The sequence below is a fragment of the Homo sapiens genome, chromosome 2, assembly GCF_000001405.40.
Source record: "Homo sapiens chromosome 2, GRCh38.p14 Primary Assembly".
Taxonomy (NCBI): domain Eukaryota; kingdom Metazoa; phylum Chordata; class Mammalia; order Primates; family Hominidae; genus Homo; species Homo sapiens.
This window is the reverse complement of record NC_000002.12, coordinates 45410345-45437156: the sequence shown is the minus strand read 5'-3', so window position 1 is coordinate 45437156 and position 26812 is coordinate 45410345. Positions and strand designations below refer to the sequence as shown.

Sequence of the window (26812 nt, the reverse complement as noted above, 5' to 3'; positions counted from 1 at the left end):
GAGTCATCCTACCCACATACATGAAATATCTCTCCTCTTAGTTCTTTGATTTCTATCAATAGAGTATTGTAGTTTTCTTCTTATAGATCTTATACATATCTTATTAGATTTATACTTTAAGCTTTTGGAGGGTGCTAATGTAAATGTACTGTGTTTTTAATTTTAAATACCACTTATTTATTGCTGGCATATAGGAAAACAGTTTACTTTTGTATATTAACCTTGTGTCCTACAACCTTGCTGTGATCACGTATTAGTTCCAGGAGTTTTTTAATCAATTCTTTTGAATTTTCTACATAGACGATCATATTATCTGTGAACAAAGAGTTTTCTTTCTTTCCTCATGATAAGGTTAGGCCTTGTGTCCCCACCCAAATCTCATCATGAATTGTAATCATCAGGTCTTGAGGGAGAGACCTGGTGAGAGGTGATTGGATCATGGGGGTGGTTTCCCCTATGCTGTTCTCCTCATAGTGAGTAAATTCTAACAAGATCTGATGGTTTTATAAATGGTAGTTTTTCCTGCACTTAGACACACACTCTCTCTCACCTGCCACCATGTAAGTCATGCCTGCTTCCCCTTCTATCATGATTGTAAGTTTCCTGAGGCCTCCCCAGCCATGTGGAACTGTGAGTCAGTTAAACCTCTTTCCTTCATAAATTACCCAGTCATAGGAAGTTCTTTATAGCGGTGTGAAAATGGACTAATACACCTCACAATCTTATATAACTTTTCTTTTCTTACTGCATTAGGTGGTACTTCCAGTATGATGTTGAGTGGTGGTAAGAAGGGACATCCTTGTCTTGTTTCTGATCTTAGTGGGAAATATTCTGGTTTCTTACCATTAAATGTTATGTTAGCTGTAGGGTTTTTGTAGATGTTTTTAATCACCTTGAGGATGTTTCCCGTTTGTTCTTAGTTTATTGAGAATTTTTATCATGAATGAGTGTTAGTTAGATTTTGTCAAGTGCTTTTTCTGCAGCTAGGACTATGTGATTTTTTTTTTCTTTTTTAGCTTGTTGATGTGATAGATTCCATTAATTGATTTTTTGAATGTTGAACCAGACTTGCATACCTGAGATATATTATATTTGGCTATGGTGTATAATTCTTCTTATAGATTGTTAGACTTGATTTCCTAGCTTTTTTGAGAATTTTTGCATCTGTGTTCATGAGAAATACTGATCTGTCATTTTCTTGTAATGTCTTTGTCTGGTTTTGGAATTAAGGTTATGCTGGTTTCATAGAATTATTTAGGAAGTATTCCCTCCGCTTCTATTTTCTGGAAAAGATTATAGAGAATTGGTATAATTTCTTCCTTAAATGTTTGATAGAATTCATCAGTGAACCCATCTGAGTAAGGATTATTTTTTAAAATTTTGTTAGGGTGGGGGTAGTGTAATCCTTTCTCCAGGACTAGAATAGCTCACTTCTACCCCTTTCTGGGTATCAGCAGAGTATCCGGGGTGTTCAACGAGGTCTCTTCAGTATGATTGGTAGGACGTCCTATGTCTCCCAGCTTTGTGTAATCTCAGGAATCTCTGGGTAGCTGCCAACTCACAGGCAGCTGTTTTTTTTTTTTGTTTTTTTTTTTTCCCCTGGCCTTGTGTTGTCTTGTCTTGGTGCCCTGGGTATGTGCAGCTTAGTATTTAGCTAAATGCTTAAGATGTCACTTATATGAGTAACTGGAATACTGCTCTTCAGAGCTTCATTCTCTCTGATATCATACTCTTAAAACCTTCAGGAATCCCAACCTCCAGTCTGTTTCTCCAGCTCAGTAAGATTACTATGTCCTGCTTGGGTTACCTCCTGGTGCCACAGTCTAGAAAGTGTTCTCAGACAGAAAGCTGGGGCAATTTTGAGGCTTATTCTATGTAGTTTCCCTCTCCCTGGAATCATAGTCCTGCAGCTGTCTAAAATTGGTTGCCATATATTCACTATTCACAATAGCAAAGACTTGGAACCAACCCAGATGTCCATCAGTGATAGACTGGATAAAGAAAATGTGGCACATATACGCCATGGAATACTAAGCATCCATAAAAAAGGATGAGTTCATGTCCTTTGTAGGGACATGGATGAAGCTGGAAACCATCATTCTGAGCAAACCTATCGCAAGGACAGAAAACCAAACACTGCACATGTTCTCAGTCATAGGTGGGAATTGAACGATGAGAACACGTGGACACAGGGCGGGGAACATCACACACCGGGGCCTGTCGTGGGGTGGGGGGAGCGGGGAGGGATAGCATTAGGAGAAATACCTAATGTAAATGACGAGTGAATGGGTGCAGCAAACCAACATGACACATGTATACATGTGTAACAAACCTGCACATTGTGCACATGTGCCCAAGAACTTAAAGTATAATTAAAAAAAAAAAGAAAAAAAATGCAAATAGGCAAGAAAGGCTTGATTCTGGAGCATATCAGATTTCAGATCTTGCTGACATAAACACCTCTGGGCCAAAAGTTTAAGTCAACTGGAGACCCTTGACATTCTAATTGAGAGTTAGCCCTGCAAAGGAGGTGATTGATTAAATTGATTCTAACACATAATTGATTGTATAGGAAATCTGAGAACATTGACCCTTTAAAAATTTATGAAATTATTATCTGTTTTTAGAGGTAGGAGATCCTTGACAGAATAAACTGACTTTATTTCTCTGCAAAAAAAAATTGTTTGCCAAATGTTAAGGTGCACATATGTAAGCCAAGATCCAATGAGGGCTGGGACAGAAAAGCTGCTAAAGATTTGTGAGGTGAATGGAGATTCCAGGGGTTACACAGTGTCTTGGGAACATAAGAATTGAGGCCATCCAGAATGGGGAGACCTCACTGAACAACATGGGCACTCATTTGATACCCGAGAAGGTCCATGACTTGAGTAAGGCTATTGAAGCCCTGGAATGTTGGGTTTTAAAAATTAGTTTACATTTGTCTTGTGCAGAACAAATAAGACAATCATTGTCCCAAGGATCCTTCTGTCAAGTTGGCTTGATAATTGATAATAGGTTCATGCAAATCTGATGCTTAAATACTGAGTTAGCAGTAAAGGAATCTTCAGCGTACCTTCCATATGCTTTATCAGAGGAGGAGGATTTGCAAAGAGAATGTCTTCCTGTTTATTTTTTTCCCTCTTATGACCACTGGCCATGCTTCAATCTGTGTTTCTGGATCTGGAAAAAATCCTTCCAGTGCTGATGCCCTTTGCCATCTTAATCCCAGAGCCTTATAGGCACAATGAATTATTTATTTTACAAGTTTATGCATCTACAAAATAAAAATCTTCTGATGTTTGAAGTATGTATTTTTAAAAGAATGTGCTTATGAAAATATCTTTTTCAAAGTCTTCTTCCAATATTATTTGTTCTATGTACTTGTCTGTGATCAGGAGCTAGAACACATAGGTTTTTAAATAGCTAACTAAAGCATTTCTTTAGTGCTGAACATTGTCTTTAACGGGAGTATATAAAGACCTCTTGTTTACCGGATTTGATTAATTGGAGGAGGAGCTTTCTTAAGCACACACTGTTTTCTCAAATGTTTCCCAGCCTCCTGTCAGTTCTGTCTGTCATGGGTCATTCAGCACACACTCGTTTGGATGACTCTTAAAAACTGTCACATGTCAATCAAAGGAAAGGAGATGCAAAATGAAGAAGTAAACTTGCTTCATTTGAAATTGAATAGACTGTTCCTGTAAAGCTTTTTTTTTCCTGGGTTAAGCTTAAATTTATTTTTTTTAATTTGACAAATAACATTGTATATGTTTGTCACATACAGCATGACGTTTTGAGGTGCACATACATTGTGAAATGATTAACTCTTGCTAATTAACAAATGTATTACCTCACACAGTTATTTTTGTGATGGGTGCACTCAGCATCCACTCTCTTTGTATTTTTAAGGAATTCAGTATATCCTCATTTACCCTAGTGACCGAGCACCTGTAAAGCTTTTTTGCATCTTTGGTTTTCTAGCTACATTTTGTATTTTGGCAGTACTAAGGGGCAGGAAGAGACATGAGTGGATGATGGTCGCTGAGTAAAATAAAGACTTAAGAATATTGCACTAGGAATCCACTTTGGGAAAAACTTCAAGTTTAGTATGGGGAATGTAAAGTGAAATTTTGTTGTTCTAGAAACTGTAGTCCACAGTGTTTCATCTGGAAGGACTTTAAAAAAATAATAGTTGTTAGATACTTTTCGTCCTTCAGGGCAAAATAAAACACAGCAGTTTGAGGAGGTTTTTCAGAAGTTTGTGGTAGAGTAATAAAGTTTTATTTTTTGAGAATTCTGACCTTAGAACAAAAGCTGACTAGCATAAATGATCACTTATATTCCTTTGTAAAAATCTCATAAATTTTAATAAAAATATAATGTCCCAGGATTTCCTTGAATTCGAAAGAGAGACTGTTTAAGTAACTTGCCCCAAAAATTCAGAGTTGGGTAACTTCTATTTAAAAATGGAACAGTCCATTTTTCCTGGCATGAAGTCCTTAGGGATTATTGGCACTGTTAGCCCTCAGGCCCTCTTGCTTCTTGTACCAGTTACTGCCAGTAGAGTGATGTGTCACAACTCAGCTTTCAGCAAATCTAAATGGAGCTTCTTAAAGACATGGAATACATATGATTTTTTCTATACTTTCAACACATAGCCCAACTTGCACAGTGTCTGGTACAAAATAGTTGCTTAGAAATGTTCTTAGAATAGCAAATGAATGCCTCTGCTTTAATGTCAAAGACATTATTATGGAAACAGTATGGGATTTTGTTCAGTATTCCTTCCACCAAATAGATATGATTTTTAGTTTTAGAAAATAGTGTTGGCCAGGCGCAGTGGCTCACACCTGTAATCCCAGCACTTTGGGAGGCTGAGGTGGGCGGATCACCTGAGGTCGGGAGTTCAAGACCAGCCTGACCAATATGGAGAAACCACGTCTGTACTAAAAATACAACATTAGCTGCGCGTGGTGGCACATGCCTGTAATCCCAGCTACTCAGGAGGCTGAGGCGGGAGAACCACTTGAACCTGGGAGGCGGAGGTTGTTGTGAGCCAAGATCGTGCCGTTGCACTCCAGCCTGGGCGACAGGGTGAGACACCATCTCAATAAATAAATAAATAAATAAATAAATAAATAAATAAATAAATACTTTTAACTCTTTAGTACTTTCCTAAGCAAAAAATTGGGGAAGAATGTAAGCAAAGTTTATATTTACAGCTGACCTGACGGCAGCGTTTACAGAAGTTTCTATTACATAAATAGCTGCTAGAAGAGTTTTTAAAACTTCTAAATTCAGTGAGTTAACTTGGACCTTTTTTCTTGTAGGATGTTTTGGTGAAATAACTGGTCTACTGGTTTGTTTTTGTTTTTTTTCTATTATACTTTAAGTTCTGGGATACATGTACAGCACATGCAGGTTTGATACATAGGTATACACGTGCCATAGTGGTTCGCTGCACCCATCAACCCATCATCCACATTAGGTATTTCTCCTAATGCTATCCCTCCCCTAGCCTTCCACCCCCTGACAGGCCCCAGTGTGTGTGATGTTCCCCTCCCTTTGTCCATGTGTTCTCATTGTTCAACTCCCATTTATGAGTGAGAACATGTGGTGTTTGGTTTTCTGTTCCTTTGTTAGTTTGCTGAGAATGATGGCTTCCAGCTTCATATCCCTGCAAAGGACATGAACTCATTCTTTTTTATGGCAGCATAATATTCCATGGTGCCACATTTTCTTTATCCAGTCTATCATTGATGGGCATTTGGGTTGGTTCCAAGTCTTTGCTATTGTGAATAGTGCTGCAATAAACATACGTGTGCATGTGTCTTTATAGTAGTCTCTGAGTATATACCCAGTAATGGGATTGCTGGGTCAAATGGTGTTTCTGGTTCTAGATCCTTGAGGAATCACCACACTGTCTTCCACAATGGTTGAACTAATTTACACTCCCACCAACAGCGTTAAAGTGTTCCAAAAAGTGTTCCAGTTTCTCCACATCCTCTCCAGCATCTGTTGTTTCCTGACTTTTTAATGATCGCCATTCTAACTAGCGTGAGATTGTATCTCATTGTGGTTTTGATTGTGTTTCTCTAATGACCAGTGATGATGAGCTTTTTTTCATGTTTGTTGGCCGCATAAATGTCTTCTTTTGAGAAGTGTCTGTTTATATCCTTCACCCACTTTTTGATGGGGTGGTTTTTTTCTTGTAAATTTGTTTAAGTTCGTTGTAGATTCTGGATATTAGCCCTTTGTCAGATGGATAGATTGCAAAATTTTTCTCCCATTCTATAGGTTGCCTGTTAAGTCTAATGATAGTTTCTTTTCCTGTGCAGAAGCTCTTTAGTTTAGTTAGATCCCATTTGCCAATTTTTGCTTTTGTTGCCATTGCTTTTGGTGTTTTAGTCATGAAGTCTTTGCCCATGCCTATGTCCTGAATGGTATCGCCTAGGTTTTCTTTTAGGGTTGTTATGGTTTTAGGTCTTATGTTTAAGTCTTTAATCCATCTTGAGTTAATTTTTGTATAAGATGTAAGGAAGGGGTCCAGTTTCAGTTTTCTGCATATGGCTAGCCAGTTTTCCCAACACCATTTATTAAATAGGAAATCCTTTCCCCATTGCTTGTTTTTGTCAGATTTGTCAAAGAACAGATGGTTGTAGATGTGTGACGTTATTGCTGAGGGTTCTTTTTTGTTCCATTGGTCTATATATTTGTTTTGGTACCAGTACCATGCTGTTTTGGTTACTATAGTCTTGTAGTATAGTTTGAAGTCAGGTAGCGTGATGCCTCCAGCTTTGTTCTTTTTGCTTAGGATTATTTTGGCCATATGGGCTCTTTTTTGGTTCCATATGAAATTTAAAGTAGTTTTTTTCTAATTTTGTGAAGAAAGTCAGTGGTAGCTTGATGGGGGGGATAGCATTGAATCTATAAATTACTTAGGGCAGTATGGCCATTTTCACAATATTGATTCCTCCTATCCATGAGCATGGAATGTTTTTTTCTGTTTGTTTGTGTCCTGTCTTTTTTCCTTGCGCAGTGGTTTGTAGTTCTCCTTGAAGAGGTCCTTCACATCCCTTGTAAGTTGTATTTCTAGGTATTTTAATCTCTTTGTAGCAATTGTGAATGGGAGTTCACTCATAATTTGGCTCTCTGTCTATTATTGGTGTATAGGAGTGCCTGTGATTTTTGCACATTGATTTTGTGTCCTGAGACTTTGCTGAAGTTGCTTATCAGCTTAAGGAGATTTTGGGCTGAGACGATGGGGTGTTCTAAATATACAGTCATGTCATCTGCAAACAGAGACAATTTGATTTCCTCTCTTCCTATTTGAATACCCTTTATTTCTTTCTCTTGCCTGATTGCCGTGGCCAGAACTTCCAATACTATGTTGAATAGGAGTGGTGAGAGAGGGCATCCTTGTCTTGTGCTGGTTTTCAAAGGGAACGTTTCCAGGTTTTGCCCATTCAGTATGATATTGGCTGTGTGTCATAAACAGCTCTTATTATTTTGAGATACGTTGCATAAATACCTAGTTTATTAAGAGTTTTTAGCATGAAGGGGTGTTGAATTTTATCAAAGGCCTTTTCTGCATCTATTGAGATAATCATGTAGTTTTTGTTATTGGTTCTGTTTATGTGATGGATTACGTTTAGTAATTTGTGTATGTTGAATCAGCCTTGCATCCCAGAGATGAAGCCAACTTGATCTCGGTGGATAAGCTTTTTGATGTACTGTTGGAATCAGTTTGCCAGTATTTTATTCAGGATTTTTGCATCGATGTTCATCAGGAATATTGGCCTGAAATTTTCTTTTTTTGTTGTTTCTGCCAGGTTTTGGTATCAGGATGATGCTGGCCTCATTAAATGAGTTAGGGAGGAGTCCGTCTTTTTCTGTTGTTTGGAATGGTTTCAGAAGGAATGGTACTGCCTCCTCTTTGTACCTCTGGTGGAATTCAACTGCAAATTCTTCAGGTCCTGGGCTTTTTTGGTTGGTAGGCTATTAATTACTAGCTCAATTTCAGAACTTGTTATTGGTCTATTCAGGGATTCGACTTTTTCCTGGTGTAGTCTTGGGTGGGTATATGTGTCCAGCAATTTATCCATTTCTTCTGGATTTTCTAGTTTATTTGCGTAAAGGTGTTTATAGTATTCTCTGATGATAGTTTGTATTTCTGTGGGATCAGTGGTGATATCCCCTTTATCATTTTTTATTATGTCTGTTTGATTCTTCTCTCTGTTCTTCTTTATTAGCAGTCTATTTTGTTAATCTTTTCAGAAAACCAGCTCCTGGATTCTTTTGGAGAGTTTTTTGTATCTGTATCTCCTTCAGTTCTGGTCTGATCTTAAGTTATTTCTTGTCTTCTGCTAGCTTTTGAATTTGTTTGCTCTTGCTTCTCTAGTTCTTTTAATTGTGATATTAGAGTGTCAATTTTAGATCTTTCCCACTTTCCCCTGTGGGCATTTAGTGCTGTAAATTTCCTTTTAAATGCTGCTTTAGCTGTGTCCCAGAGATTCTGGTACATTGTGTCTTTGTTCTTATTGGTTTCAAAGAACTTATTTATTTATTTATGTATTTATTTATTTATTTATTTATTTATTTTTTTGAGACGGAGTCTCGTTCTGTCGCCGAGGCTGGAGGTGCAGTGGCGCAGTCTCGGCTCACTGCAAGCTCCGCCTCCCGGGTTCACGCCATTCTCCTACCTCAGCCTCCCGAGTAGCTGGGACTACAGGCGCTTGCCACCACGCCCAGCTAACTTTTTTGTCTTTTTAGTAGAGACAGGGTTTCACTGTGTTAGCCAGGGTGGTCTGGATCTCCTGACCTCGTGATCCGCCCGCCTCGGCCTCCCAAAGTGCTGGGATTACAGGCGTGAGTTTATTTCTGCCTTAATTTCGTTATTTATCCAGTAGTCATTCAGGAGCGGGTTGTTCAGTTTCCATGTAGTTGTGTGGTTTTGAGTGAGTTTCTTAATCCTGAGTTCTAATTTTATTGCACTGTAGTCTGAGAGACTGTTTGTTATGATTTCTGTTCTTTAGTATTTGCTGAGGAGCGTTTTACTTCCAACTATGTGGTCAATTTTAGAATAAGTGCGATGTGGTGCTGAGAAGAATGTATATTCTGTTGATTTGTAGTGGAGAGTTCTGTAGATGTCTATTAGGTCTGCTTGGTCCAGAGCTGAGTTCAAGTCCTGAATACCCTTGTTAATTTTCTGTCTCATTCATCTGTCTGATATTGACAGTGGGGTTTTAAAGTCTTCCGCTATTATTGTGTGGGAGTCTAAGTTTCTTTGTAGGTCTCTAAGAACTTGCTTTATGAATCTGGGTGCAGCTGTATTGGGTATTGTGTATGTTGAACCAGGCTTGCATCCCAGAGATGAAGCCAACTTGATCTCAGTGGATAATCTTTTTGATGTACTGCTGGAATCGGTTTGCCAGTATTTTATTCAGGATTTTCGCATTGATGTTCATCAGGGATATTGGCCTGAAATTTTCTTTTTTTGTTGTGTTTCTGCCAGGTTTTGGTATCAGGATGATGCTGGCCTCATTAAATGAATTAGGGAGGAGTCCCTCTATTTAGGATAGTTAGCTCTTCTTGTTGCAATGATCCCTTTACCATTTTGTAATTCCCTTCTTTGTCTTTTTTTATCTTTGTTGGTTTAAAGTCTGTTTTATTAGAGACTAGGATTGCAACCCCTGCTTATTTTTCCTTTCCATTTGCTTGATAAATATTCCTCCATCCCTTTATTTTGAGCCTGTGTGTGTCTTTGCACATGGTATGGGTCTCCTGAATACAGCACACTGATGGGTCTTGACTCTATCCAATTTGCCAGTCTGTGTCTTTTATTTGGGGCATTTAGCACATTTACATTTAAGGTTAATATCCTTTCTTCCACCTGATCGATTCGGCTATTGATACTGTGTACACTTCATGAAGTTCTTGTGCGGTGTTTTTCAGCTTCATCAGGTCATTTATGTTCTTCTCTAAACTGGTTAGAGACTAGGATTGCAACCCCTGCTTATTTTTCCTTTAGTTAGCAATTCCTCTAACCTTTTTTCAGGGTTCTTAGTTTCCTTGTATTGGGTTAGAACATGCCTCTTTAGCTCGGAGTAGTTTGTTATTACCCACTTTCTGAAGCCTACTTCTGTCAATTTCATCAAATTAATTCTCCATCCAGTTTTATTCCCTTGCTGGCGAGGAGTTGTGATCCTTTAGAGGAGAAGAGGCATTCTGGTTTTTGGAATTTTCAGCCTTTTTGTGCTGGTTTTTCCTCATCTTTGTGGATTTATCTACCTTTGGTCTTTGATGTTGGTGACCTTCGGATGGGGATTTTGTGTGGACGTCCTTTTTGTTGATGTTGATGCTATTCCTTTCTGTTTGTTAGTTTTCCTTCTAATAGGCCCCTCTGCTGCAGGTCTTCTGGAGTTTGCTGGGGGTCCACTCCAGACCCTGTTTGCCTGGGTATCACCAGTGGAGGCTGCAGAACAGCAAAGATTGCTGCCTTTTCCTTCCTCTGGAAGCTTTGTCCTAGAGGGGCACCCGCCAGATGCCAGCTGGAGCTCTCCTGTATGAGATGTCTATCGACTCCTGCTGGGAGGTGTCTCCCAGTCAGGAGGCATGGGGGTCAGGAACCCACTTGAGGAGGCAGTCTGTCCCTTAGCAGAGCTCTAGTGCTGTGCTGGGAGATCCACTGCTTTCTTCAGATCCAGCAGGCAAGAACGTTTAAGTCTGCTGAAGCTGCGCCCACAGCCACGCCTTCCGCCAGGTGCTCTGTCCCAGGGAGATGGGAGTTTTATCTATAAGCCCCTGACTGGGCCTGCTGCCTTTCTTTCAGAGATGCCCTGCCCAGAGGGGAGGAATCTAGAGAGGCAGTCTGGCTACAGTGGCTTTGCAGAGCTGCTGTGGGCTCCATCTAGTTCAAACTTCACTGCAGCTTTATTTACACTGTGAAGGGAAAACCGCCTACTCAAGCCTCAGTAATGATGGGTGCCTCTCCCCCCACCAAGCTCTAGCATCCCAGGTTGACTTCAGACTGCTGTGCTGGCAGTGAGAATTTCAATCCAGTGGATCTTAGCTTGCTGAGCTCCATGGGGTTGGGATCTGCTGAGCTAGACCACTTGGCTCCCTGGCTCCAGCCCCCTTTCCAGGAGAGTGAATGGTTCTGTCTCACTGGCATTCCAGACACCACTGAGGTATGAAAAAAAAAACTCCTGCAGCTAGCTCAGTGTTGCCCAAATGGCCGCCCAGTTTTGTGCTTGAAACCCAGGGCCCTGATGGTGTAGGCACCCAAGGGAATCTCCTGGTCTGCGGGTTGCAAAGACCACGGGAAAAGCGTAGTATTTGGGGCAGAGTGTACCATTCCTCACAGCACAGTCCCTCACAGCACGGTCCCTCACAGCTTCCCTTGGCTAGGGGAGGGAGGGAGTTCCCTGACTCCTTGTGCTTTCTGAGTGAGTTCCCTGACTCCTTGCGCTTTCCACCCTGCTTCTGCTTGCCCTCCGTGGGCTGTACCCACTGTCTAACCAGTCCCAATGAGATGAGCCAGGTACCTCAGTTGGAAATGCAGAATCACCCACCTTCTGCATTGATCTCGCTGGAAGCTGCAGACTGGAGTTGTTCCTATTCGGCCATCTTGCCAGCCACCCCCTACTGTGTGATTTTTAATGGCATCAGAATAGTTCATTGTAGGGCTGTTCCATAATTTATTTGTACAAGTCACCTCTATGTGGATATTTAGATTGTACACATATACACACCCCTTTGTGCAAGTGTCTTGCTATTTCCTTAGAAAAAATCTTATATATGAAGATACTGCATAAAGTCATATGTACATGTTTTAGAATTGTTGTGAGGATTCAGTTACGTGCTATTATAAAGCTTTACAACAATGCCTGACAGTAAAATCTCAAGGAGTTTTGATAGTATGGTGATAGTTTTCATTGTCTCAGTCTTGCCGCTTGACTTTGAGCCCCTAAATAAGGTGACTGCTTCAATTGGAAAAACATCAGAGATCCTTACTCAAAGTGGCCTGAACAATAAGGAAATTTCTGATTCTTGATTAAATGATAAAGAGATTTTATTACAGGATGCTCAGGGGGGCTAAGTACAGAACTCGTTAATTCAGAAGCTCAAGAGTATCAATGAAGAAACAGTCTCTCAATGTATGTTACCTGCCATTCTCGCTAAGTTAGCTTTTCTTCAAGCTAGTGCCATCCCATGATACAGTGCTTACTGAGAGTCATACTTGAATCAAAAGAAGAAAAGGCTAGTTCTCTCTCACTCTATTTAAGGGCAGTGAAGTCTTTTTCTGAAGTACCTAGCAGATTTACCCTCACATTTCATTTGCCATTATTGAATAAATAGAATGGGACCACCATGATTAGCTTAGACCATTGTTTTTCATACCTTTTGATTTTGACACACTAGGAAATACATTTTACTTCGTCATGACGAGGGCACTTATCACACATCACTTCTGTTTGGGTATATGTATGTCTGTCTTATACAATTAAATGTAATTCAAAATAAGTTTCTCAAAATAATGCTTATCTTTACTACTGATTGTAAGTTAAATGCTATTTTACTTATGTTTAAATAGGTTTTTAATACCTAAATACAAAAATTTAGAACAGATTTAACTTAATGTATAGATATGGGCTGTTCATGAATTTTTTTCAGTCTGGAATACATGAGGACAATGCTATGAGCATATATAGTACATGGTTGAGCCGTTTTTTCAAATTTTGGGTCAAGATTAAAAATACCTTTTTACACAAACAGGTCATTGTGAGTAGCAAAATAATCTTAATAATAATTTATTCAGATGAGATTCATCAATGAATTCTGTACTTAGTAGGAGGGGATTACACAAGTGTATCAATACCAGGATTTGAGGATCATTGGGAACCATCTTGGAAGCTGCCTAGCACAAAGTATGAGGCAACTAAATGCAGTATGTCATCCTAGGTTGAATTATGGATTGGGAAGAAAATGCTGTGAAGAAAAATTGAGAAAATTGATGATTTGAGCATGGGTTGAATGTTAGGTAATATTATTACATCAGTATGTTTTCTAATTTTAATAATTGTATTATGGATATGTAAGTCAATGTTTTTGTTATTTGGAACTATACGCTGAAGTATTTATGTGAAGGAAGGGTAATAAAGTTTTAGTACTATTCTTGCATGCCTTCTCTAAATTTGAAATTATTTCAAAGTTAAAATTTAAAAATGTCAAGAGAGATTGTTTTAAAATGAAAACAATGTGAGTCTGGTTCTTAAGTTCATACATACTGAATACATTATATGTATGTCGTGTATGTCAATCCTTTTAATAGGCTGTTGGATTTAGTTTATTAGTATTTTGTTGAGGATTTTTGAACTGGTATTCATAGGAAATCAGTTCAAATGTAGGTTTCTTTCTTCTTGAGGTATCTTTGGCTTTGGTATCAGGGTAATGCTGGCCTCATAGAATAGGTAAGAAGTATTGGCTCCTCTTCTGTTTTTTTAAAGAGTTTGAGAAGGATTGGTGTTCTTCAAATGTTTGGTAGAATTCACCAATGAAACTGTATGGTTCTGAACTTTTTTTTGTTGGGAGAGTTTTGATTACTTATTGACTGTACTTATAGGTTTGTTCAGATTTTATATTTCTTCTTGAGTCAGTTTTGGCAATGTTGGTGTTCTTAGTAATTTGTCCATTTTTTATTCTCCTACCATGTATCTGGTTTAATGTATATGGAACAATAATGTGTTTTTGCATTGTGTAAACACATCTGATTTAATTTTATGTGAAGTTACATTTAAACCATATAAAATAAATCCTCCATTAAACTGCCTTGCCTTGCATATCTAACCTAAAATGCATTTATCACTTGAGCATTCCATTTGCTTCACATTCACATCAATATTTGTTATTTTCCATTGTTTTCATTTTAGCCCTGTGGTAGGGGTGTTCCAAGTGATTTTGTTTTTTAAGTTTGAAGTTTTATTTCAACACTGTCATCTACAAGAATATCATTACCAACAACACATCTGGGGTCCGTCATTTTTATTGTTTTGCACATTTATAAAACCATGTTTTAAATCAAGCTTATTTTAAAGTCGTATGGTTATTATTTTCTATATAAAATGTGGCTCAAGTCAAGTCAGAGATTACTGATTGGAGTCAACATTTTCTCTCAATTTTGTCACTATCAACACTTCCAAATCTGGTAGTTGGGCTTGCCTCTGTAGGTTTTACTTCACTGTCTTTTTTTCTTCTGAGTATAGAGTGATTCATTTTAAGGACTGCTTATACTAAATCAGTTAAAATATTACAGTTGCTGAGAATTTGAAAAATTTTATACTCAATAACATTCTTTCTGAAAAATACACTGAAAGTTTTTAACTAAACTTGGTTGAAAGAATCAGCTCTTTGCCGATAGATAAACTTCTCACATGCTTTGCTTTTAACTCTGCAGAGTTACTCTTTAACCTCTTCATTATCGTCAAATTGACCATCCATGTCAGAAGATCAAATGAGTTATCAGTGAACCAAATACCTATTCCTGACCAATTTATGTTGTATTCCTCTCACATGATAGTCTCAATTGGCTGCATTGTTCATTCTATTGTTCATTCGATGTTAAGGGTATATACAATATGCTGTATGTGGTTTATTCTATTCCTTTATTTTTTTATGCCGGTGGCAAATCACTGATTTAATTTTATGATCCACTAATTGATCATAACCCTCAGTTTGAAAAACATGGATTTTAACCAGTCACCATTGTCTGTGGGAGGTGGGACCAGCTTTTCCAAAGCATATGGCCTTGCAGAAATGGGATAAATGCTAGACACACGGTCAGGCTTCTGTTTGAAAGGAGGAGAAGGGGTTGACAACTAGAGGTTAGGATAGGCAACCAAAATAATCTGCTGCAGAGACTGTCGCTTACTCATTTAGCTGTCCTAAGCATCTGATGTGCTAGGAAGTACTGTATCAACTTGTTTCCCTTATTCTAATGGCTCTTAACGATTATTCTTCCTTTTTCCGGTTTGTTTGTAGTTTTGTGTTCCTCAGATATTTTTTCTTGTTGCTATCATTGTGCTTGCCTTTACATTGCCATACTATCTCCTACCCACCCATTTTAAAAAGTTCCCTTTTCATTTTGCTGCTTTTCATCTGCTTAGACAAAAGACTAGCTTCTTAAAAGCTGTGGCTCAGAGTAACCAAGTTCTCAGTAAGATCTAAGGTTTTACTTTACGATCTTTTTCATGGTGATATTTGCTTATTAGATTTTTAAAATGACATCCAAAATTTTTAGCTGCGGCCTGGCTAGTTACCAATAAGTTATCTCTGAAATACAGAAGTGCTCCTGTACCCTTCAGTCTTCCAGAACAAAAGCTTCTGCTGTTATTAAATGGTAATAATGTAATCACAATACTTGGGGACTCTACTAGATTATATTCCTTGTTTTCCTTGATGTTGGGTAAAGAGAAGTCTCCTGTCCCACAGATCATTAATTTTAGAATTATGAGTAATAGCGAATGTATTCATTGTTGTAACCTAGCTTCAGTTAGTCAACAAATACTTTAAAATATTGCATTTCATCAATTGTAAGATGCTCATTTTCTGACTTTTTTTTTTTTTTTTTTTTTTTTTTTTTTTTTTTGTTTGAGACGGAGTCTCACACCGTCACCCAGGCTGGAGTGCAGTGGCACGATCTACGCTCACTGCAAGCTCCACCTCCTGGGTTCATGCCATTCTCCTGCCTCAGCTTCTGGAGTAGCTGGGACTACAGGTGTCCGCCACGGCGCACGGCTAATTTTTTGTATTTTTAGTAGAGACAGGGTTTCACCGTGTTAGCCAGAATGGTGTCGATCTTCTGAGCTCGTGATCCGCCCACCTCGGCCTCCCAAAGTGCTGAGATTACAGGCGTGAGCCACCACGCCTGGCCATTTTCTGACATTTTAATACCTCTGAAATCAGAATGCAGCTTACATTTAATGGTGTCCTACAGTTGCTGTTGTCCCTGTGGTAAATCATGGTGTAGTTTCCACATGAACTTGGTTGCTAATCCTAGAGACATGACTGAACTGCACACCTTTCACTGTTTTAGTTAACAAACCATTGAATAATAAACCATTTAAGGACCTTTCAGAAAAGGAGTTTTGTCACTGTCCAAAATGTCTTCTGTTAATAACCTCTGTTAAGATTCAGATAGTGCTACCACCAACATGGCACATGTATACATATGTAACAAACCTGCACGTTGTGCACATGTACCCTAGAACAACTTAAAGTATAATAATAAGAATAAAATAAAATAAAAAGATTAAGATAGTGCTACTATCATCAAAGCTTCTAAGAATGTGCATCTGAAGCTTGAAAGTCCCAGAGACAACAGAGGATTACTCTTTTAAGAAATGCTGCGTTATCAAGGATCTTGTTAGTATAAAAAACAATACTGCATGGAAAACCTTGACACCTATGATTTTGAATATAAAAGTGATCAGAAGAGTTGAACACTGAATGTGAAGAAATTTTAGGAATAGCTTAGCCAGTTTAGATTGCTTATATTTTCTTATTTGTACATGATATATGGTTCTTACGGTTTCTAAATAAGTCTAAAGAGCTCTTTCAATATTTAACAAATAAATAAAAAATGTAAGCAGTAAGAAAGCATGTGTCATGGTTTAATTGACTATTTTCTTCCTTAGTGGTATATAAAATGGTGCTTCATATAAACAGTACTGTCTTCAATTTGATGAAACGAGTTTGATTTACTGTCTTACTGTTATTTTACTGCTTCCTATTATAACATGTTTTCTTCTCCATAACACTATAAGGCCGTGCATGAATGTTAGAGACTATGTCTCATTGTGATCTAGCAGCCACAGTATCATCCGGGAACTTGTTAGAATGCAAATTCTTAGACCCCACCCTAGACCTACTGAATCAGGAATCTGGATGTGGGTGTGTTACCAAGCCATACAGGTGATTTTAATGCAAGCTTAAGTTTGAGAACCACTGCTCTGGGCACAATTTCAGGCAAGGGAAAAATACTGGTACTGTTATATTCAAATTAGGTATATATGCATAGCTTAAAAGAGTAAGAAGCCACAGATGCCTTGACTTTAGCTTAATTCTGCTAACAGTGTGTCTAAGAGGAATGAAGAAATTTACCATGGTGTGTGTTAGCTAACCACCAGTAATATAGGCAGAGTAATGGAATAGTCCAAGAACTACATCTCCTTCACTGTTAATATTTGATCTTTGTCTTTTCAGCATGACGTATCCCAGACTTTACTCAAGGCAACACTGGACAGTGTTGTAGAAGAATGTGTCAGCTTTGTGGGAGTGGATATTAACATCTGTTCAGAAGTTTTGTTAAGGTGAGACAAATATGTGGCTGAAGATCACAGAATCTTGAGTTTAACTGGCTGTCCAGTCCAAACTCGGCTAGAAGAAGGGAACACGTGTATAAAGTTGTCAAGTAGAGAACGTCTATGGGTTTATACATTGCTTTAAGTAATCAGAGGGGAAGACATCATTTAAGAAAAGAATTATAACAATTCACATTATCATTTTTAATATTGCAGGTCTAAAGTGAAGAGCATATGGTAACCATTGAGTGTATTAGTGTTGCTAATAGAATTTAAATAAGGTTAACATGGAAAAGAGCTGTTTCCCACCACGTGAGAGTAGAGATTTTTCACTAGTTAAGCCTCTTGCATGCATCTGTCAAACCTGGCAGTAACCAAAAGATAAATTCTGAGGGTTCAAGGTATGGTTACCATATTTTTACCCTGATTCCACAAGAAACCTGTCAAAATTTTTATCATACTATAATCGCATGTTATATAATCTTCTTTTCCCCCATGGTTTTAGAAGAGCTGCTTTTTTGTTCACAGTTTTGCATTTATTACACAAGTCTGCTAATGCAGCATGAAATTCCCTGATCTGGACCGTTTTCACTGAAACAGGTATAGCAGAAACTGTCCCTTACATTTTAAGTTGTTGATTTTCTAACACATCTACAAACATTTCATAATTTCATATATGGAATTTTATAATAGAGTTGAGATTCTCTGAAATAATCTTTTGACACCAAGCAAACTACCTAATGATATAGTCTTTGTATATAATTTATACTAACCATGACAATTATAGATAAGGGCCTTTCTGTAGTTCAGCTCTATATTACTGAGAACAGGCTAACACACAAAAAAGGTAGTACAACACAGTTGTAGCTATTATAACTTCTTCTAACTCACTTTGTATGTATGCTGAAAAAAATAGGCAAAATTATTACTTTATCCAGAAACATAAGGAATGTGAATAGTATAGAAAAACTAAGGAACATTTTTTTCTTGCATCAGTGTTAGCCTTCTTACCAGCATCTTTATGACAGCTGTTGGTTTTGTCATTATTTTTTTATTCTGTTGTCCTTCTTTCCTCTTGCACAACTCTTTTTTTCTCCGTTTTTTTTTTGTTTTTTTTTTTAAACTCCCTTTTGGATTAACTTAACTTAGCCGTATGAGGATATGTCATTGCAGTCGTTTTTATGATCCAAATGTTTTATATCATTGTCTTTTCAGATGAGATCTTTTTTTCAGTTTGCTTATTTTTTTTTTCTAGGCATATTGCAGGACTCAATGCCAACAGGGCCAAAAATATTATTGAATGGCGAGAGAAAAATGGACCCTTTATCAACCGAGAACAGCTGAAGAAAGTGAAAGGGCTGGGCCCAAAATCCTTCCAACAGTGTGCTGGCTTCATCAGAATCAACCAGGATTATATCCGAACGTTTTGCAGGTGAGTATAAGTATACACTTTGATTCTATTGTCAACCTCCTCTCTTGTTACTGTTACCTATCCTACCACTGATTAGTGTAAAATTTTCTAAGTGTCCATTGTTCATGCCTTCATTCAGTTAAGTGTTGAGTGACTGTCCTTTGGTAGGCATTGGGAATACAACAGTGAGCAAGTCAGCAAATTCCGGATTCTCATGGAGTTATATTTTAACATGTGACACAGACAATAAGCAAACTAGTAAAATTAGTACTTTCAGATGGCAAGAAGTGCTATAAAAATTAAAGCAGGGATATGTGACACTGTCTTAGGAGAGTAATACAACTACTTTAGATTCGTTATTTTTTGAAAACTTATTTGAGCAGAGTTTTGAATGAAATGCCATCCAAGGATCAGAAAGAGAGCATTCCAGGCAAAGTGAACACTAAGTGTGCACAGTCCTAAGGCAGGACCAACTTTGGTGTATTCAGGAAATGAGGCAAAGGCCCACACAATTAGGGCATAGCAAATGGGAAGGACTGGTACAAGATGAGGTGACAATGGTGACTTCAAAATGACCACTTTATACTGACATAGCTGTTCCCTAAGCATAGATATGTTTCCCCACTCCCTCCTCACTGAAAATGGACCAAAGCATTGATTATCAGTTGTGTGGATCAAGAGCTAAATTTCTTTATTTTCTAATCCTGAAAGCACAAAAGCTTGTTAGATAAACTTCTTAGCATGATATAATCATGAAAGAAGAACATTTACGTATCTGCTACTTTGGGACTACGTGGTTAATTCATATGGACTTTATAATTTTGACAAAATTATAATAGAGGTCATATGGAAGATAACCTTTCTTCTGGAAAAGACTGATTAAGCCTCACTAGAATACATTATAAAGCTGTGGAAATTAAACAGTTTGCTTTTGATGTAGGAATAGCACAGAATAAGGTCTGAAATCCACCAAAACATGGTTAGAATTTAGTTTGTGGTAAAGGTGACATTTCAAATGGTAGGGTAAAATTGATTAATTATCTAACAAATGATATTATGACAACTGCCAGTAATTCAATATGTGTGAAGGAAGCTGTAGTCCCACTTCTCACTCCTATACCCAGATAAATTACAGATTTATCATAGACTTAAATGTCAAAAAAAGTAAAAAACTGTAAAAGCACCAGAAGAAAACATGGGGAAATCTTGCAGAGCATTAGAGTGATGGAAATTCTTTCTAAATAGATCATGAAACCTAGAAGTCACAATTGAAAAAAATTGAAGATAAAATGATTCTGTTTTTGTTAGTTTATATGTTCTTTGAACACTTGGTTAGAAAACTCACAGCATAGGCCAGGAGCCGTCGTTCACCTGAGGCCAGGAGTTTGTGACCAGCCTGGCTAACATGGTGAAACCCCGTCTCTACTAAAAATACAAAAATTAGCTGAGCATGGTGGTGCTCACCTGTAATCCCAGCTACCCAGGAGGCTGAGACAGGAGAATTGCCTGAACCCAGGAGGTGGAGGTTGCAGTGAGCCGAGATCATGCCGCTGCACTCCAGCCTGGGCGACAGAACAAGATCCTATCTGTCTCAAAAACAAGCAAACCAAAAAAACACCAAAAAACTCACAGTATAAAAAAAGAACAAAAAGTAAAAGATGCCTCTCAAGTCTCACTTGAAAAAGTTTCTTATATGTTGCTTCCAGAAAGTAAATTTACAGTTATGTCACCTTGTATGTATATGTTTATTATTTTAAAAATGTATACACAAGGGATCAGGCTCTGCAACTATTTGAAACTTGCTTTATTTGTTTCAGTCTTCTGGATCTCTTTCCAAATTATTACATATAGATTTCTAATTTTTTATTCTTTATATTGTCTGCATAAAATTTAATTGTATGGATGGGCTGTAATTTAGTCTAATCAGTGTCTTATTGATGAAGCTTATTTTAAAGCCTTGTACTTTTCCAGCTGATAATTAGGTACTTGAAGATTTGTGACTGTTACATCTCATGAACTATAGGTTTATTCAGAATGGAATATTGCTACCACATTTAATGTTTTTTGCTTTGAAATTTATTTGCTAGCAATGTTACTGTATATGCCTGTTTTTTTTAATTTTTATACTTTCTATGACATTTAATTTTTGATATGGCTCTTAGAAACACATAGCTAGATTTTGTGGTTTTACTCAATCTGTTATTAATACATTCATATTTGTTGTATTTATTTATATGTTTGGGCTTATTCTTCCTACGTATTTTGCCCCTCCATCATGCTTTCTGATTCTTCTTTTCCTTTTACGCTATTTATTAGATTTATCAGTTAATAAGTTTTCTGTTTCTCTCCTTGTTTTCCCATCTCATCTTTATCTCTCCTTAGTGATTTCAAAGTTGTACATCTTCTATTCTTATGATCATCCTTAAATTGGTTTTGGACTGACCTCTGGAGTTAATAGGTGTCTGTCCTCTTAGAGAAGACTAGAAACAGGATCCTTCCCAATCTTTCTCTCTTCAACTCTCTCTGCCTCCCATGATAAGATGATCTGGGATTTTAGTTTCAGACTCCTCTCCTCTCCTCTCCTCTCCTCTCCTCTCCTCTCCTCTCCTCTCCTCTCCTCTCCTCTCCTCTCCTCTCGTCTCCTCTCGTCTCCTCTCCTCTCCTCTCCTCTCCTCTCCTCTCCTCTCCTCTCCTCTCCCGTCCCCTCCCCTCCCCTCCCCTCCCCTCCCCTCCCCTCCCCTCCTTTTCTCTCACTCTCTCTATATATTTTATACATATATAAAAATATTTTATGTATATTTTTGTTTTTTAACCTATATATACGTATACAGACTATATGCATGTGTATATACGTGTGTATATACATATACACATACACACTATATATACACACTCCTCCATATATATAAAATATATTCTTATAGATGTATATTTTTGTTTTTTAAATGTGTGTATATACACATATACACACTATATGTGTGTATATACATACTATATACACACTATATGTGTGTATATACATACTATATACACACTATATGTGTGTATATACATACTATATACACACTATATGTGTGTATATACATACTATATACACACTATATGTGTGTATATACATACTATATACACACTATATGTGTGTATATACATACTATATACACACTATATGTGTGTATATACATACTATATACACACTATATGTGTGTATATACATACTATATACACACTATATGTGTGTATATACATACTATATACACACTATATGTGTGTATATACATACTATATACACACTATATGTGTGTATATACATACTATATACACACTATATGTGTGTATATACATACTATATACACACTATATGTGTGTATATACATACTATATACACACTATATGTGTGTATATACATACTATATACACACTATATGTGTGTGTATGTACATACTATATAACACTGTGTGTGTACATACTATATACACACTATATGTGTGTGTACATACTATATACACACTATATTGTGTGTACATACTATATACACACTATATGTGTGTGTACATACTATATACACACTATATGTGTGTGTACATACTATATACACACTATGTGTGTGTGTACATACTATATACACACTGTGTGTGTGTACATACTATATACACACTGTGTGTGTGTATATACATACTATATACACACTATGTGTGTGTGTATATACATACTATATACACTATGTGTGTATGTGCATACTATATACACACTATATACACACTATGTGTGTACACACACTATACACACTATGTGTACACACACACTATATACACACTATGTGTGTACACACACTACAGACACTATGTGTGTACACACACTATATACACACTATGTGTGTACACACACACTATATACACACTGTACACACACACTATATACACACTATACATACTACATATATACTATATAGTGTATATGTATATATGTGTATATACACATAATGTATATATATTTACATCATTCATGAGCACTTATTTAATTTAATCAGTTTTTGTGGTTTCTGCACTGTTTCTTGTAGTTCATATCATCATTTTTCTTTGATTTATTGGTTTTTGCTAGAATTAATCCTTAAGAAATTCTTTTAGAGCTTGGTATGGGTTATACTTAAGTCCTTACATACCTGCAAATGATTTCAATTTGCCCTCCTACTTGAATGCTAATTTGACTAGGTATGCGATTCTAAATTCAAAATCATTTTCTCTCAGAAACTTTAAGATATTGTTCCACTATGTTCTGACATCTGATGTTTGCCAGTGAGAAATCTGATGCTAGTCTGATTCCAGATCCTTTTAAAGTAATGTTTTAATTTTCTCTCTTGAAAGCCTTTTAGAATTTTAAAGATTATTTATATTGTAAAGTTTATCCATGATATGTCAAGTATGAGTCTTTTGCTTTTCTTTTCTTTCTTTTTTTTTGAGACAGTCTCTCCCTCTGTTGCCCAAACTGGAGTGCAGTGGCAGGATCTCAGCTCACTGCAACCGCCGCCTGCCAGGTTTAAGTGATTCTCCTGCCTCAGCCTCCCAAGTAGCTGGGACTACAGGCAGGCATGCACCACCACACCCAGCTAATTTTTTTATTTTTGGTACAGACAGGGTTTCATCATGTTGGCCAGGCTGGTCTCGAACTCCTGACCTCAGGTGATCTGCCTGCCTCGGCCTCCCAAAGTGTTGGGATTACAGGTGTGAGCCACTGCGCGAAGCCAAGTATGAGTCTTTTTCTATTCATCCTGTTCTACACTCAATAGATTCTTTTGAGAGCTTGTTTTTCTTAGCTCTGGGAAATATTATTATTTTGTTTCCCTACATTTTCCTCTTTTCTCTCTTAGAATGGCAATTATACAATCAGTTAAGAATGTTTTTGGCTTTAAGTAACAGAAAGCCCTTTTCCCAGTGATTTAAACAAATAAGTGGTAGTTTCTATGAAGTAAAAGGTCAAAATCTGGTTGCTGTTTTCGCATATTTGTATGACAGAGAAGTAAGCACATTTTAATTTGAAGACTTTTCTGCCCAACCTTCCCCTTTTCATAAATGTGGTTTTTTCTGGTTTTATATAGTCAGCAAACTGAAACTTCAGGCCAAATTCAAGGAGTTGCTGTGACATCTTCAGCAGACGTTGAGGTCACAAATGAGAAGCAGGGCAAAAAGAAGAGCAAAACTGCAGTGAATGTTTTACTGAAGCCAAATCCTTTGGACCAAACTTGTATTCATCCAGAATCATATGACATAGCAATGAGGTAAGTCTGAGGCCCATGTGGGAATTCTCCATATGCAGAGTGAGTTCTTTACAGCAAATGGCCTTTGTTTTGGCATAATGGAAACTGAAAAATATGACCGTTTAATGTGACAACATTTTTCAGAAGTTCTGCATTGCTGAGTTATGTGGCACATTATTTCATTTCACTGAGGAATGAAACCATTACTCCTGGAGCATTGTCAAGCTAATAAACCCTGATACTAATGGTGAAGTGTGTGTAATGGAAATTGCATGGCACTCCCCTCTGTTTGTTTTGGAAATTAACAAGACACAATTGACTAGCACCTGGCATAAAACTTGTGCTTTTCTAAAGATAAAACCCTTTTGAAAGTAAACAACCAACTCAGCTTTCTTAATATTATCTTTATTGGTTATTAAAATCTTAAAATCTAAGAAATGATGTACTTTTAGTGAGTATACATTAACAGAATGACATGGGGGAAGTTTTTGAGTAGAAGGGAAGTTTACGGTATAAAAAGAAAAATCTTTTTAACAGCATATTTAATTAGCTTTAAATTTTTTTAATTAGTTCAAAAACAGTGACTTGCTACATAACGACATTTTTTAAAGATTCTTACTGAATTGTATGACAGTGTAACAAATATAGTGAATATTTTAACTTTTATTGAATCTAAAATGAGATTTTTGTTTTAAAATCACTTATATTTGATTATTTTAGTAAATGTCATTAATTTGCTTTCTTTTAAAAATATTTAAAAAGACTATAGTATATTATAGAAAACTTAGAAAAAAGAAGTAAAAAATAATATTCTGTGAACATCCAACTAGTTCCTGGTTTCCCCCAACAGTTTTATGATGAAAAAATTTAGCCATACAGAAAAATTGGAAAAAAAATTTTTACAGTGAATTCCTATATAGCCACACCTAGATGTTATCATTAACATTTTATTCTATCTGTTTTTCCACATATCCATCTACTTATCCATCCATCTTATTTTTTTTTGTCTTGTTTTGTTTTGTTTTGTTTTTGAGACAAGATCTCTCTGTCACCCAGACTGGAGTGCAGTGGTGTGATCTCGGCAACCTCTGCCTCCTGGGTTCAAGTGATTCTTGCGCGTCAACCTCCTAAGTAGCTGGGGTTACAGGTGTGCAGCACCACGGTCTGGCTAATTTTTTGTATTTTTAGTAGAGATAGAGTTTCGCTGTATTGTCCAGGCTGGTTTCAAACTCCTGGACTCAAGTGATCCACCCACCTTGGCCTCCCAAAGAGCTGGGATTACAGGCGTGAGCCACTGCACCTGGCCCATCTTATGTTTTTGATGCATTCCAAAGAAGATTGCAGACAGACATTGGTACACTTTGCACTAAATACTTAAGCATTCATATAATTAACTACAATTTGATAATTCTTTACGATTTTTTTCTTTTGAGGTCACATTTACGTAACAATTAAATTTTAAGTTTATATTAGCTGAATTTTGACAAATACCTACTTCTGTGTAACCAAACTGCTGTTGAGATCAGGAACATTTCTATTATCTGAAAACGTTCCCTTATACCTCTTCCGATCAGTTACTGCCCCAACCTCCCAGAGGTAACTACTTGTTTTGATTTTTTTCTACCAAAGGTTAGTTTTCTCCCTCTACCATACAATTGTACTCATCTGTGTAAGGCTTCTTTCAGCATCGTATTTAGAGATTTATCCATGTTGTAGCAAGTACCAGTAGCTTATTTTTTATTGCTCAGTAATATTCCATTGTGTGAATATACCACAGCTTATCTATTTTCCTGTTAATGAAATTTAAGAGATATAGGAAATACCAAACTTTTTTATACTGTCTACTCTCAGTACAACATAGAACACTTTCGTGGCCTCTGGTCACCAAAATATGTAGGGATTTCTCCCCTCCAACCAGTCAATTCTGCAGCAGATTATCCAGCAGACGTCACCTGGGTGTCCTCTAATTTAGTTAATTTCTGACACTATCTACCTGGAGATAGTGTCAGATCCCACAGGTTGAGGGCTCAGAACTACAAGATTGCTCCCAACTTGAGAGGTCTGGTTGTGACCTGTAACTTCAGGATTCCTATGACCCTGGAGTTCAATTAATTTGCCAGTTTGCAGAACTCAGGGAAACATCTACTTAATGTTCATCCACTTATTATAAAGGATATTACAAAGGATACAGATGAACAGCCAGATGAAGAAGATGTATAGGGAAAGGTATAGGGGGAAGGTATATGGGGGAAAGGATATGGAACTTCTACATGGGCATACTACCCTCTAGGAACCTCCAGGTGTTGAGCTATCTAGAAGCTCATTGGAACCCAGGCCTTTTGGGTTTTTAGTAGGTTTCATTACATAGGCATGATTGAATCATTGGCCATTAGTGATCAACTCGACCTTCAGCCCTTCTCCCCTCCCTGGAGGTTGGGGGTCTGGAGCTGAAGGTGACAACCCCTCTAGTCACTTGTTTGGTTTTTCTGGTGACCATCCCCTATCCTGAAGGTATCTAGGGGACCCCAGCTACCAGTCGTGTCATACAAAAGACACTCTTATCTATCACTCTGGAGATTCCAAAGGTTTTAGGAGCTTTTTGCAGGGAAACAGGAGGAAAGCCAGATATGTACTTCCCAATATCACATGAACCTTGCTTATTTCCAGTTTTTGGCCATTGTGAGTAAAACTGCTGTGAATATTCTTGCGCAGTTTTTTTGTTGTCTTTGACCTTTGTTTTCATTTATCTTAGAAAAATACATACGAGAGGAATTGATAAGTCATGAGGTA

At 37.3% G+C, this 26812-nt stretch overlaps 1 protein-coding gene across 7 annotated transcripts in view; it reads left to right on the top strand.

Annotated features, from left to right (window-relative positions):
* Positions 1-26812, top strand: part of SRBD1 (S1 RNA binding domain 1) — a 222588-nt gene that overhangs the window by 174111 nt on the left and 21665 nt on the right. For 4 of the 7 annotated variants that reach the window (NM_018079.5, XM_011532946.3, XM_047444862.1 and 1 more), the window contains 3 exons: positions 17263-17369; positions 18616-18792; positions 23864-24043. In NM_018079.5, coding sequence (NP_060549.4) covers positions 17263-17369; positions 18616-18792; positions 23864-24043 — 464 coding nt within the window. Of the gene's footprint in view, positions 1-17262; positions 17370-18615; positions 18793-23863; positions 24044-26812 lie in introns of those variants that run through there. The other 3 variants (XM_047444860.1, XM_047444858.1, XM_047444859.1) reach the window with 3 other exon arrangements.